This window comes from Homo sapiens, chromosome 5 (genome assembly GCF_000001405.40).
Source record: "Homo sapiens chromosome 5, GRCh38.p14 Primary Assembly".
In the NCBI taxonomy this organism is placed as follows: domain Eukaryota; kingdom Metazoa; phylum Chordata; class Mammalia; order Primates; family Hominidae; genus Homo; species Homo sapiens.
In genome coordinates, this window is record NC_000005.10 from 126,271,085 (window position 1) to 126,286,813 (window position 15,729).

The 15,729-nt window shown below is 38.1% G+C and overlaps 2 long non-coding RNA genes across 3 annotated transcripts in view; both read right to left on the reverse strand.

The window, feature by feature from the left end:
* LOC124901056 (uncharacterized) overlaps positions 1 to 15,729 on the reverse strand; it is an 891,204-nt gene that overhangs the window by 791,990 nt on the left and 83,485 nt on the right. The gene's annotated exons all lie outside the window — the stretch shown is intronic.
* On the reverse strand, positions 1,433 to 14,091 carry LOC101927488 (uncharacterized). Of its 2 annotated transcripts, NR_105039.1 has the most exons (3): positions 13,906 to 14,091; positions 8,647 to 8,809; positions 1,433 to 1,743 (listed from the first exon to the last, which is right to left on the reverse strand). It is a non-coding gene; the product is annotated as an uncharacterized LOC101927488 (long non-coding RNA). The 2 variants fall into 2 exon arrangements; NR_105040.1 differs by lacking the exon at positions 8,647 to 8,809.

Genomic DNA, 15,729 nt, shown 5'->3' on the forward strand with positions numbered 1-15,729 from the left:
ATATATTGGTTATAAAAATATATTACATAATTATATGTTATATATAATATATACTTAATATTTAATTTAATATATAATTATATGTTGTGTGTGTATATATATACACACACAAGTAAAATAAGTAAATGAATGAATGAATGTCAGCCAGGCCCTGTGATAAGTAGACTGTGCAGAAGGCAAGCTGCCCTGTTTGCCTGGCAACCCACCTCACATCCTCCCCTAAGGACTGCAACACTCACAGATGACCCAAAGCAGCCGAGAAGCAGAAGGTCTCACACTATTTCTCAGTGGGTCGGCACTTTGTTTGGCATCCCCATCAGTAGGCAATTCTTCCAGAAAACAAAATGCACTAGACCCACAAGATACACTGGAGCATCTCAGAAGCTAAGCTCCTCTGCAAAGAGAGGATGAGTCACAAGAAGGCTTTCCTCTCTCTTTCGTACTATGCCATCTTAAGCAAGAACCCTCTTCTCTGAGCTTACCTATGGTACAGTGCAAATACCTACCGTGCAAGACTACTGTATTCTTGTGCAGGTAAAAAATGTATGATACCTCAAACACTTGTAATGGTGTTCGGTGCAAAGCAGACCCTCAACAATGGTAGCTGTCGTTATTTTCATATTACCTTTATTTCACAGCATTATACATTCTAGAAATGAAGTTCAGAGTTATCCTTTCAAACACCTTCAAGAAAATGGCAACTTCTTCTCATTGCCAAATCCCCAAGAAAAAGGAATTGTAAATTTATCAGAGATTTGGCAATACTACATCAAATTAAAAAAAACATATAACCAACCACCGGCTAGCTCCAGCAGCCACAAAGAATGATAAAGGAATGGACTTAGAAAAGATTCCGAACTATTGGACCTTTAGACTCACTGAGCAATGGACTTTCCTAGCGCCTCCAGGCTGTGCCTGTTTCAGCATTTCTGAAGAGCAGAGCGGCTGCGCTACTATAGTTGGTGATACTATAACTAAATCTAATACGACACACCAGAAAATGCCACTGAACATGAGGAAATAACACTGATGATGCCCTTGAGACTTGGCTCTCAAATGATATGAGCCATTTCTTCCTGCGGGGGGAATTGTCTCTGTCCTTCTCACACATTCAGGTGTGCGTATGTGTGATGCAACTTCAAGTAGAGATAATGATTGAAATTAGAGATGAGAGAATTATTAGGTCAGCAGGCCCACTGCAATATTCAAGAAAAGGACTTGAGGTAATTGGATCTTTAAAATGAAAAATGTAAAACCAGAAAAGTAGATACCGCTCTGTGCTGAGCACTCACAGAGGAAGTAAAGCAAAACACACATCTTCAAACAAGAGTCAGTCTTAAGATCTGGAGGGGTGCGGGTAAGTCCAGAAGATTTTTCATCTTCAGGAAGAAAGGGCTTCAGACTTTCCTGTACCAATCTTCACTGTGCACTTTACCCATGCCCTGTCTGTACTGAGCTGCAAGACAAGTGCTGACAGACGAGAACCTCAGGGACATGGGAGTAAAACATTTGGCATGTGATGGAATGCTGGAAAATAATCATTTATTGAGGTCTCCAAGAGACACTGCAGAGGCCACTTACCAAGTAGAACAAAAACATTTTCCCCACATTGAGAAAGAACAAAGATGTTGCCTTAGGTCCTTTATTGTGTTTTGTGATCAGTGATATCCACATACCATCAATTATATAATCACATCTCGAAGACTGGGTGGATTATTCCAGCAACTTAAATCCTCTCTGGACCTTGAAAATATTTGAGGATCAAATGAGAGAAATTATGATAATTTTTTTTCAAAACAGCTACATGTATTTTCTTTATATCTTTGATAGACTCTAGTTCGGTATTTCATAAGCTACTCAACACATTTAGTAGTACAACTTTCACATAGTTAATGATGGAAATAGGAATAACATGAAAGATTATTATCAGTTGCTATTTGTACTAGTTTATATAATACATATACATCTAGATATATATATACATATACATACATGTATACATATACACACATGTATACATATACACATATATACAATTGCAGATCCCCCATAAGTCAAGCATTTCTAAATTTTCTATGTATATTAACTTAACTTCTAGGGTACATGTGCACAATGTGAAGATTTGTTACATATGTATACATGTGCCATGTTGGTGTGCTGCACCCATTAACTCGTCATTTACATTAGGTATATCTCCTAACACTATCCCTCCCCCCTCCCCCCACCCCACAACAGGGCCCTGGTGTGTGATGTTCCCCTTCCTGTGTCCAAGTGTTCTCATTGTTCAATTCCCACAATAGCAAAGACTTGGAACCAACCCAAATGTCCATTAATGATAGACTGGATTAAGAAAATGTGGCACATATACACCATGGAATACTATGCAGCCATAAAAAAGGATGAGTTCATGTCCTTTGTAGGGATGTGGATGAAGCTGGAAACCATCATTCTCAGCAAATTATCACAAAGACAGAAGTGGGTACTGCTAGTATCCAAACTGTACAGATGAGGCAACTGAAACAAGAAGTTTGGAAACGAATGCAACATTCCCTTCAGAGCCCATTTGGAAGACAGGCAGTCAGGCTCCAGAATCCATGTTTTTTACCAACAGGAAAAACCAATACATACAAAGCACACTTATCCACAGATACAGCACTTTGACCTGGGCAATTTTTGTTTGTTTGTTTGTTTGTTTGAGACAGTCTTGCTTGGTCACTCAGGCTGGAGTGCAATGGTGCAATCACAGCTCACTGCAGCCTCAACCTCCCCGGCTCAAGTAATTCTCCCATCTCAGCCTCCCAAGTAAGCTGGGACTACAGGTGTGGTGTCACCATGCCTGGCTTTTTTATTTTTTAGAGACAGAGTCTCCCCCTATGTTGCCCAGGCTAGACTCAAACCCCTGGGCTCAAGGGATCCTCCCACTTTGGCCTCCCAAAGTGCTAGGATTACAGGCATAAGCCACTACACCTGGCCCATTTTCTTGTCTAAATTAACACTGAGTAAGCCTTTCATTATTCACTGAACATATTCAGCCAACTGCAATAATTGTTCAAACAAAGAATTGAAGGAAATGGTTCCAAACTGAAGCTAGTTTGGAAAATCTGGAGCAAGATAATCCACTGAGATTTGAACATATCATATTAAAGATTTTTTTTTTGCCTTTAATACTGTTTGGAGTTTTCATGAGCTGTGAAGACTCAAGGGAATAAGCCAAAGTATCCTTGCAGAAATTCTGAATACCACTAAAATGAGCTGTCAAACATAAATCAGTATCTGGCTATTTTTCGACCTATTTATAAAAGTGCAGCTGTGAAATACCTCTAAAATACAAATCTGAGTACATTTATCTGAAGATGGTACTTTTAGCAAAAACCTTTTCAAACAAACAAATGCCATCTGTCAAAAACAAAATAATTGCATTGTGTCAAAATGTTGGGGGTGAAGTATTTAAGTTCCCTGTGTAGCTGGTATGATAGATCGTGGAATTTCACCTGGTGTCAGCTTCATTCCAGCTGCCCCAGGGCTTAATGCTGGCATCAGCCCAGGTCTGGTTTTTATTGAAAGAAGAAGAAATGTGTCAGAACCAGAAAGGATTTCTGGATTTCCACTGAATACTCTCAAAGGTTCTAAGATTTCATGTTCAAGATGAATGCAGACTCTAAAATTACTCTAGCATATGTTCCATATCATTTTCAGAATTGATTTTGTTTTCAAAGGTATTAGCCTGTTGTCCTGGAAATTAGACAAAAGCCACATGTTCCCAATGCCCTTTTCCGTGTTCATTCTCAAAAACTGTACATTAGTTTTATTAAACAAAATCAACCAGGAAAAATCATTACAAAAAGAATTTTCAGCCTCTTTGAAGCTCAAGATTTATAGAAAAGTAGATACATGCCAGAACCATATGAGTTCTGAGCAAACGCAGATGGCCCCTATTGGTATTGTTTCATTCGACAACAATTTTTGATCACTGATTCATTGTCATATCCATCCAACTGGAAAACTCCAGGCATTTTGTTTAATTACAGCCAACAGCCTGATGCGTAGAAAGATCTGATTGCTGATTATTAAAATTCAAGTCTCTTAAGTAGAAATTTGGGATAATCTAAAATAGAGATAGATCTCTGAACTGCTTTTAAGGAAAAAATGCCACCTGTGTTTTAATTTTTAAGTACAGAGAAATTCTGAATTTAAGTACAAAGAAATTAAGTACAGAGAAATTCACCGCCAAAAAAAAACACACAGCATTTGAGAATGGCAGCATTGGAAGTTCTGCTCAGTCATTTAAGCTAAACAAAGTCTTGATTTCAAGCAAAAAAACATGACTAGATTTTATGTATTTATAATGTAAGGAATATAAGTGGAAAATACTCTTCTAAAAAAGACAATATTCATATTTATTGGTAAAGATAACTACTTCATTTTAGCATGATGCTGTACTCCAAGACCTAAAAAAAAAAAAAAATCCATTATTTTCTGTTATAAGCCAAACCAAAGAAAGGTCAAAAGGCTATTGTTGAGCACAACTCTATTCTGTAGCATAAGGATGTATGTTACTGTAGATTTTCAAAGCCTACTCTGTAGGAAGGAGTTCAGGGCACTTCATAAGTTTTTGTGTTCTCTGGCTTTATGCACACTGTGTGCAGAATAGGAAGTCTGGAGGGTTCCGCACATACCTGTCTGTAATTAGTGTTGTTAGCCATCGACTATGTCATTCTATCTAGTGTACTGGGTGCTTTGCACATCACTTCCAATCTAAACAATAACCTTTTCAGATTAAGAAACTAAGACAAAGAAATCTTTTAATATGCTTTAAGTTCTGGGAGACATGTGCAGACACGTGCAGGTTTGTTACATAGGTACACACATGCCATGGTGGTTTGCTGCACCCATCAACCCATCATCTACATTAGGTATTTCTCCTAATGCTATCCCTCCCATAGCCCCACACCCCCCAAAAGGCCCCATTTTGTGTGATGTTCCCCTCCCTGTGTCCATGTGTTCTCATTGTTCAATTCCCAATTATGAGTGAGAATATGCAGCATTTGGTTTTCTGTTCCTGTGTTAGTTTGCTGAGAATGGTGGTCTCCAGCTTCAACCATGTCCCTGCAAAGGACATGAATCAATCCTTTCTTGATGGCTGCATAGTATTCCATGATGTATATGTGCCATATTTTCTTTATCCAGTCTAACATTGATGGGCATTTGAGTTGGTTCCAAGTCTTTGCTATTGTGAATACTGCTGCAATAAACATACGTGTGCATGTGTCTATAGAATGATTTATATTACTTTGGATATATACCCAAGTAATGGAATTGCTGGGTCAAATGGTATTTCTGGTTCTAGATCCTTGAGGAATCACCACACTGTCTTCCACAATGGTTGAAATAATTTACACTCCCACCAACAGTGTAAAAGCATTCCTTTTTCTCCACATCCTCTCCATCTGTTGTTTCCTGACTTTTTAATGATCACCATTCTAACTGGCTAGAGATGGTATCTCGCTGTGGTTTTGATTTGAATTTCTCTGATGACCAGTGATGATGAGTTTTTCATATGCTTCTTGGCTGCATAAATGTCTTCTTTTGACAAGTGTCTGTTCATATCCTTTGCCCACCTTTTGATGGAGTTTTCTTGTAAATTTGTTTAAGTTCTTTGCAGCTTCTGGATGTTAGCCCTTTGTCAGATCGATAGATTGCAAAAGTTTTCTCCCATTCTGTAGGCTGCCTGTTCACTCTGATGATAGTTTCTTTTGCTGTGCAGAAGCTCTTTAGTTTAGATTCCATTTGTCAATCTTGGCTTTTGTTGCCATTGCTTTTGGTGTTTTAGTCATGAAGTCTGACAAAGAATTGCATATATACAATTGCTCTAGAGCTACATATGCTGAAGAAAGTCAGCAGGCCCCAAACCCACGTTTTTTTGACTGTGATGCTGACCTTTTTTTTTCTGAATCATACTCCCCGCAAAAGGGTCCATCCACAGTGGCTGCCCTAATGCAAGTCACTCAGTGTTGCTTATTATAACTTCATTTTTAAAAGCCATAAAATGGTATGATGAAAGTACATTATAGCTAATCAAAAATTCCTGGTGTAAAAAAGTTAGGTAAAGAAATAAATAACTTCAAAGAATTATGGAAAGGAAAGCAGTGTTCTCCTAAATTGCTCCCCCTTACCACTACAACCAAATACCATATTAAAATTAGAACTATTCTAGTAAAAATTTCATTGACTTTGGATTTTGTTCTCTTAGTTTAACCAGGAATTTACAGGAAAAGAAGGTCTCTGAAAGAGAGCCTAGATATTTTCTAAAAGTGATAGAAGTTTCCCTCTGTTAACACAGTGTACCAACCCTTCGACTCATTTAAGTGATTTATTCATTTAAAAATGCATGTCCCTTGGAAGGCATAAAATACATTTACCAGACCTATGCAGCAATGTGAAATGTGTGTAAGTTTAGAGATGAGGGTATATGCATGTATACATAAGGTGATTTTATAAAAGCAAACAATCTGAAATTTTAATAGAAAGTTTTTAATATTAATGTTGATTTTACTCAATATGTGCTCTCAGGAAAGTGTAACTGATCCTTTTTGTAAAATATATATACAGTTTATATGGTGTTACTTTGAGATGTTATGAAGTTTTTCTCTAAATTATAACAATTTTATTACTTTTTATCATGCTTTCTTCCTGGGTGATTTTATTTCAAAGGGTTAATGGTTCATCCATGATATCCTTTTAAGAAAATATGAGTAGACCAGGATGAATTACTTGGCTGCATTCTCAAAACCCAGACTTTAAAAAAAAAAACAGGTCCTACATAAACCTGCCTCCTCATCAAAACCACACACTGAATAAATTTAGGATTGTATTCACAGATGGCAGTTCATGAAATCACTCAGCACCAAGTGCAGAATATTCTCAATGGCTTGGAAAATCAGAATGAACAATGCATCACCAAAGATGGTGGTTGTGCTAGTCTAGAGTTTTGAATTGTATAGTGTTAAAAACTCTGCAAAATAAGTTTGCAAGAGATGTTTACAGTTTCTTTCATATATTGTATTTACATTTTAAAGTTTCCTCAGGAATTTATAAACATCCTATGTTTTTAAACCCTACCCCAACCCCCAAAACAGAGTGCCTCCCTCATAGGATGGAAACCAGAGGAAGGCCCATGAAATAGGGCCTTCTCCAAGGGAGACACATGGCGGTGGACTTACAACTGATATACTTACCATTTAGGAGTGAACTAAATGCTAGATAAATGGAAACTATTCATGCTGTTGTGGGGTTTAGATCAGCTTGGTCACTTTTTATTACATTTTAAGATAACATTCTTATAATTTGCATTGAGGGTTGATACTATCTATGTGGACATTTGGGAGGATGTAAAAGACAAAGGGAAACATTCAGATTCAGAGTTGAAAAAATTTTTATGTACACCCTATATAGATCTAATTCTAAGCCCATTGGGTAAAAAGTCACATACTTTATATAGAAAAGTTATAAACATTTTATGAATAAATATGTTTAAAAACTAAGTTAGTTTATACTTTCCTGATTGTTTTCCTTTCTTTTCTAAATGCATTTAGGATGAAATCTCATTTGAACATGGGCTTTGAATAGTGAGGTTAGTCCATACAACAGGGTTAACATTAAGAAGAGTGAATAATAGCCAGGTAACTACAAATAAGTAAATTCATATTGTTTTGTTGCTGTTGTTTTTTAGAGACAGGGTCTTACTCTGTCACCCAGGCTGGACCAGAGAAGAGTGGCACAATCATAGCTCACTGCGGCCTCAAATGCCTGGGCTCGGGCGATTCTCCCTCCTCAGCCTCCCAAGGAGCTGGGTTTATAGGTGCACACCACCATGCCCAGTCTAAATTCATATACTTCTAAAAACACCTGCCCCGCATCCATGAACTATTATAATCACTTTACATTTGCTATTTCTTTTAATACTGACATAACCCATGAAAAGTAATATTCTTATCCTGATTTTACTATTGAGGAAACTATCTTAATGCAATGAAATGACTCTTCTAACAGCATGCAGCTCTTAAGTGGCAGAACCAGAACTTGGATCCAATTCTCTCTCAATAAAAGCCCTTTCTCTATGCTCTATTGCTTCTCATAAATGTCCTATAATATATCTATATCAAGCCTAGAGCCACTTTCTCATTATAGGATAATTTAAAGTTGAAGAATTTAGTAGAATTTTACCAGATCTCCAATGTTAACTAGTTTAGGGATTAGAATTTAACCACAGACTATAAGGGAAAATTCCAATTTAACTTAAAACCACAAATATCATACAGAAATAAAAATCTGTTCATAGCCTGAACTAAAATCTAGGCCTTGCTTTCTAGGAAAAAAATTATAGATTTTCTACATGTTAGCCACGAGTCAACAAAACATGTCTTATTTTTGAAGTGACTCACGTAGTATTAACATCAGGTACGGTACAGGTTTGGACTCTAAGAATATGACATGCTGAGGTGAATATGTGAAGACACACATAGCTCACGGGGGAAAAGCTATCTTTCTTTCAAAGCTGTCTCCAGAAGATACCATTCACTCTGCCTGCCCTCAAGCAGCAATTGATTCTACTGGTTATAGTAGGAAAGTTGTACTCTAATGTCATACCTGGAGAACTTCGACAGCAGGCAGCCATAGCATACAATTCCATACCCTTCATCCCCCATCATCTCTCTCTCCTCCTTCAGATCAGCTATAAAATATGTGGGGACCAGTACAAAACGAAGATGTAGGGTTCCACGTTCAAAAGTTAGTAAGAATTTCAAGACAACTAGAACAGAGCATCAATTTCAGTCTATTAGTTCATTTTCACATTGCTATAAAGAATTTCCTGAGACTGGGCAATTTATAAAGAAAAGAGGTTTAACTGACTCACAGTTCCACATGGCTGGGGAGGCCTCAGGAAACTTACCATCATGGGGGAAGGGGAAGCAGGCATGTCTTACATGGTGGCAGGTGAGAGAAAGAACATGTGGAGGAGGAACTGTCCGACACTTATAAAACCATCAGATCTAGTGAGACCATACTCACTATCATGAGAACAGCACAAGGGAAACTGCCCCATGATCCAGTCACCCCCCAAGTCACTTTCCTCAATATGGGGGGATTATGGGGATTACAATTTGAGGTGAAATTTGGGTGGGCACACAGAGCCAAACCCTATCTCAAACCAAGCATGAGGCCTTCTGAGCACAGGGCCCCAAGTAACTGCACAGGTCTCATATCCATAAATGTGGCCTTATTCCCCTAACACTCATTCCTGCAGACACATGTGATGCCTGCTGGCCTGGGGTGACCTTTATTCCCTTTCAGTACTGCCTTTGGTGTTTCTTTTGTGTTTTTTATCTGGATAATATTGTTGGCAATATGTACCTCCTAAGAATAGGTTTGGTGTCCTCACTCAGCCACTGTCCCATTTGGCTCAGGACGTTCTGTCCTCAACAGCCAAGGCCAAGAACTCATTCTGACATCACAAAAAATGTGTGACATGTTATCCACAAGTTGGTGATCTAATGTACCTATCTGAACTGAACTCATGGAGATAAAGTGCTGTTTCTTAAGGTTCAATTTCACCTAAAGCAGAGATGATTCACAAATATGGAAATTTGCCTTTTGTTTGCTTGTTTTCTCAAAACCAAACACATTTATAACAAAAGATACCAGTACAATATGGCTATTAATTCTCTTCCCCTCATAAGTTCAAAAAAATGCCACAGAATGTACTTCATCTGCTTAGCCCTCTTTTTGTGTTTCAAAGGCTCCCCACCAGTAGAACCACATGATCATTTGCACCATCTGTGCATGGGAGAGAAACACATTATCATCCAAGCCAATACTGAGGGTATTCTATCAAGAAAGGAACCCACTCATCAGAGAAAGGTTTTGCAGAAAAGCTCCTGCCAGAAAACTCACTGTTTCCTCCTCTCTCTCTCCCTCATTAGAAATTCATGAAGATGAAGTGCAGCTTTTGTTTCCCATCAGTGAGATGAGCCTTAATACACTCTTGCCAAAAGCAAGCTAACACAGAGTAATTGTTTTTCATCTAAATTGCATGTCCAACCTGCTTAGTCTTCAAAGAACATAGATGCTACAGCTTTGATACCCAACTGCAGAATGACAAAGGAGAGGGCACAAAGCACATGGGCACGATGAGAATTTTTAATCACCGCCTATCTGTCAGCAAGCTCTGGAACTCTGGGGCAAGAGGAGAAGAGAGCAGATTATTCGCAAGGTGGATAAGGTTCCATATTTCATTCAAGACTAACTTCTTTTTTTAAGGGAGAAAAAAGTGATTTAGAGGGAATTAAGATTCCCCAAGGTGTTTTTAATCTCTTTTCACTCTAGGGCCAGGTGCCTCATGTAGCACTTAAAAGGGTTACAAAAATGAAAGCAAATGCCTAGAACACAGAAAAAGAGATATCCATCTACACAAAGCATTTGCCTTTGTTTAAGAAAAAAGTAGTTTCAGCTTTATGAACTTCACATCCAGACATTTTATAATTTTGATGTTATAGTTCTTAACAGATTTTTTCTCCATGAACACTACATCTAATACATAGAGGCAAAAATCATTAATATTTAACATTTTTTAATATATCAAGTCTCCTTTACGTCAATAAGTTCATTTAATTGCACATAACTGCAGAGTGTTTGTGAGGAGGTCTATGTGATGTGAATAAAACTGCCCAGAGAAATGGAATGAACAAATCTGCCCCCACTACCATCTTTTGCAGGTAGAGATACTACCTAAAAGCTGTGTGGTTCTCGTCACTGATCCCTGGGCCTCATTTTGTAACCAGGTGCTGAGACAAAAGATTTGTCTCTGTTTATTGTGTTTGTTCCAGTTAATTTAATTCTTTTTGCCTGGTTTAAACTTCTATTTTCTAATTATATTCATAAGCTCTACCGGGACTGGAGTGCTACAATACCTTTGCTTGCACTTAGAAAATGTGGACATAAACTAAATTACTTCCACAGCTGTCAGTAAATTGTGCTACTGTCCTGTATCATCTAAACATTAGAAATTTTTTACCCCAGGCAACCCAGTGATAGAAAGTATCTCCCAGCATGCTACCAAATAAGAGGAGACAAGCAAGTCCATCAGGCTGTGAATGTCAGAACAGAGGGAAGTGTTCTAATTGGAAATGGGGGTATTAGTGTCAGTTCCACCACTAAAGGAGCTGTACAGCTGAGGCCTCAGGGCCTCAGTGTTACCTGTAAATTGAGAGTCTTGAACCATCTCCAAGGTTATTCTTCCAGTGCTAAAAAGTCTATAATTTCAGTCTCTGTGCTTTCCTTTCTTAATAATCAATTTCGGTTTTGGAACAGAAAACTTTCTAAAGTGAAAGTTTTGACCAAAAAAACCAACTTAGTTAATTTTAGCTTTTACAATGAAGACTATACCCTACCATCATTAAGATAGTATTAAACCCTGGAAGCACTGACATTATGTAATGACTTTGAACATAAAATGGCAATTTACAATGGTCGTACTGTACATCTGTTTGTCCAGATACAGATTGAAAAGAGGGACCTTGGATATAGATGTTTACCTGAGACCTTTTACCTGACCTGTTGTAACACATTTAGAAATGCTGTAAGAAATCTTTGTGAAACTACCCCATGACTTTGAAGCTTGATACTACACCATCAAGATCCAAGTATTTCTCAAATACCCCAACGCAGCTTATGTATTCATCAGGAAGTTGAGACTCTTGGTTATATTTAAAAAAAAAAAAAAAAAAAAAAGGCTGGGCGCGGTGGCTCACGCCTGTAATCCCAGCACTTTGGGAGGCGGAGGCAGGCGGATCACGAGGTCAAGAGATCGAGACCATCCTGGCTAACATGGTGAAACCTGTCTCTACTAAAAATACAAAAAATTTAGCCGGGCGCAATGGCGGGCGCCTGTAGTCCCAGCTACTCGGGAGGCTGAGGCAGGTGAATGGCGTGAACCCGGGAGGCGGAGCTGGCAGTGAGCCGAGATCGCGCCACCGCACTCCAGCCTGGGAAACAGAGCCAGACGCCATCTCAAAAAAAAAAAAGTTTAAGCAAATAAGGGTATTTACTCAACTTACATAATCTAAATTTTCAGGGGTATCACTAGCTTTAGGCATGTCTAAATCCAGACACTTCACATTGCCAGGGCTTGGTCTCTGAATCTTGACTGTTTCCTCAAATGATTGCTGCATTCTTAGGCACACTTTTTGTACACAGTGGCAAAGACAGCCCCCTGGCACCTCTAGGCTTAACTGGAGGGTAGGCAGGAAAAGAACTACAGATTAATTGATCTCAATAAACCAGAGTAAGTGAAGCCAGTTGGTATTATCTAGAGATTAGAGAGCTAAGCTGAAAGTTTACCAAGGAGGCAATATTCTCATGGCAGCTCATAGGGATGGAGTCTCCATTTAGCGTCCAGTAAAATAAACTATTTCATTTTTAATACCAACCTCCTCTAAGCCCAATACAATATTTTTAATGACTATGGTCACAAAATTCCTTTACTTGCCTCAGTTTGCAGAAAAATAAATGATACATACTACAGTATCAATGAAAAGAGAATCTTTAGAAGTCCAGGATTCTAGTTCTGACTCTAGCAGTTTGAAAAGTCATTTAAACTCTGTTTCATCACCAGTAAGATGAAAGTGCTGAGTAAAGTAACCTAAGGCTTGTTTCAAATCTTGAAATGTGAATCCATGTAGCGCCGACCTGGCTATTTTAATGTTTCATGTTTGGGTTTTTGCTTTCTTGATACCATTTGTTCCTCAACAAAGGAAACCTAATCACTCAGAACTCTGAGAAACACTGATCACTAAATAGGTCAAAAACATCCTGCAAGAGATGAAAGCATTCAGAAGTTTTGCAGAAGATAAGTAGATAAGCCAATAGCCCATTATCTTGAACACTTTGGTTTTCACAGGAAAACAAGCAAGCAGTCAACCCCAGCTTCAATACAAGCTGAGTGCCCATGTATTGATCTTCTGTCTGACTGGGTCACGGGAGTCCTGGTGTATATTAAGTAGAAAAAGGACTGAAAATTACATTAATTCAAATGGCTAAATCAATATTTAACAACGCAGTTAGTGGTCGTTGACCTTAAATGCACCTTTAATAAAACAAAGGTGATTCAGGCCAGCCTCTAGCATATGCCATTCAGAAATATGAATTAATGCAGAACAGATGCGTTAAAGACCTCTACTAGCGCAGATGCCTTTGCAGTTTGGTCTGACTGCAAGGAGAAGTTCAAAGCCACTCTCTTAGCACAGGCAATTCGAATTTTATTCATGTGATGTTGTGTCTTCATTTATCACATTCTCCCTGTCTCAAGAATCAGACAGCCTTGATCTCAGGACATTTAAAAGCAGAAAAAGGATTTCAACAACTATTTCCCCAGCAAATTATTAGTAAATCTTTAGTGATAGCTTTGTAACCTTGAGCACTTTCTTCATAAGTAAACATGGATGTTACCAGTTGTTACTCTAGAAGCCCTATCTTACTATATGATTTGTATATATTTGCATATAAACATATCAGTTAGTACTTCACTTGCATTAAAGATTATTGAACTAAGCTTGCTTATATTAAAGAGAATGCAAAAAAGAATAAAATAAGGAATAAACAGAGGCAATCTCGTTAAGATGTCAGAATCATCTCAGATGCTATTAGCTATTATATCAGGCTCACAGATGTGAGACTTTTTAAAATTGCCTTGCTGTCCATAAAATACCTTAAGCTGTACAGCACTTTAGTTATCACTGCCAAGGACTTGGTGATAACTGTAAGGAAAAGGTCAATCTAAGAATCTATTTCAATACACCTAAGGCAGCAGGAGACTCTGTGGAATTCCCAAAGGAGCCCAGGAGAGTTTACCTGATTTTGTGACCTAAGATGCTAGTGCCAAAGGCACCATTTCCACTGCATCCTGGTTTGGCTGCAAGGACAAATGTATGATAATTAGAAATCTCTCCTGAGACACTTCCCTTTGATTTGTTGTTTGGTGATGGCTACAGTTTCTCTGCAGCCTTGCTTCTCTCAGGTCTGTCTGCTGGTTACCATGGCAAAGTGGTTCAATGCATCCTATGAGCTAAATCAGCATTCTGTAGTATCCAAGCTGCTGGCAGTAGAACTTAAGAACTGGGCAGAAAGTTTCCAGGCTGAATGTAAACGTGATTGCTTGAAAATATGATCATACACTTGAATGGGAAAAGGGACATTCCCCAGAACACGATCACAGTTTCTTTGTCATCAAGGATATGGAATAAACACCTGATCTGCCTTAGGGCCAGTCACAAGAGTTCTGGGCAGGGAGAGGGCTGGCAATATATGTGAGGCTCTCCCGCTAATGCTGGAACTCGAACAGAAGTCACGTATGACACAAAGATAGCCAAGCAACAGCTTGGCTCCTAGGAAGTCCCTCTGCCTGGGGCATTCCACATACAAACCACTAGGCACACCCTACTTTTCACAGTCTCTTCACAGGGTCAAAATACTCTCTGAATTTAAAAATAATTGTAGACTAGTCACGAGAAAGGATGTTTAGAGTGTGAGAATGAATTCTCACCTCCAGCAAGGGTTTCAGGAAAGCAAAAAGAAGTAATATTTATTTTATACTCCTCCTGGAGTTAGGTAAAGGAAGCAGAAAGTTGATCTTTCGTCTTAATGATCATTTCTCCTAGGGCCATCATCCTTTACTTGTCAATCTAAATCCAACATCCCCACAAAACTATGGAGTCCAGGTTATTTGCAAGTTTGAGAAATTTATTATGTCATTTTTAGGATGAATACATCATATGCCACACATACAAATATGTGTATTATAGTGAATTAAAGATTAATAATTATTTACCCATATGTTTATCATCTTCTTTAAGAACTAGAATATTATAAATATCTTTGAAGCCCTAGAACCTCCTGGTTTAATTCCCCTCCCCTGATACCTATTGAGGTGACCTTTACACTGAACTTGTGTTTATTGTTGCTTATCTTCAAAGTTTTATCGCAGATGTATGTGTTTCTAAACAACAAACCTCTAGCTACACAGATCAAAAAAAAAATAAAAAGAAGAAAACACAGATTACCGATACAGAGGATGTCAGGGGATATCACCAGAGACTCCACAGACATCAATAGTGCATTAAGGAAACACTATGAACAACTCTAAGCCCATAAATTTGACAACTTAGGTGAAATGGTCCAATTCCTTGAAATATACAAACTACAAAAACTCACTAAAGTAGTAATAATCTAAATTATCTTGTATCTATGAACAAATTGCATTTTTTATTTAAAATTTTCAAATAAAGAAAACTTTAGATCCAAACAGTTTCACTAGCAAAATCTACCACATACGTAAGGAAGAAATAATAACAACCCTACACAATATCTACCAGAAAATAGAAGGGACCATTTTCCAACTCATTGTGGAGCCAGCATTACCTTGATCTCGAACCCAAAGGTATTACAATAAAACTACAGACACATATACCTCATGAATATAGATTTTAAAAGTCCTCAACAAAATATTAGTAAATCTAATCCAGCTATATATGAAAGGAATAATACATCATGAGCAATTGAGGTTTACTCTAGAGATGCAAGGCTGAATCGACATTTGAAAAAGATGACAACAAATGTTGGCAAGGTTGTCCAGACAACTGGAAACTCATACATTGCTGGTCAGAATGCAAAATGGTG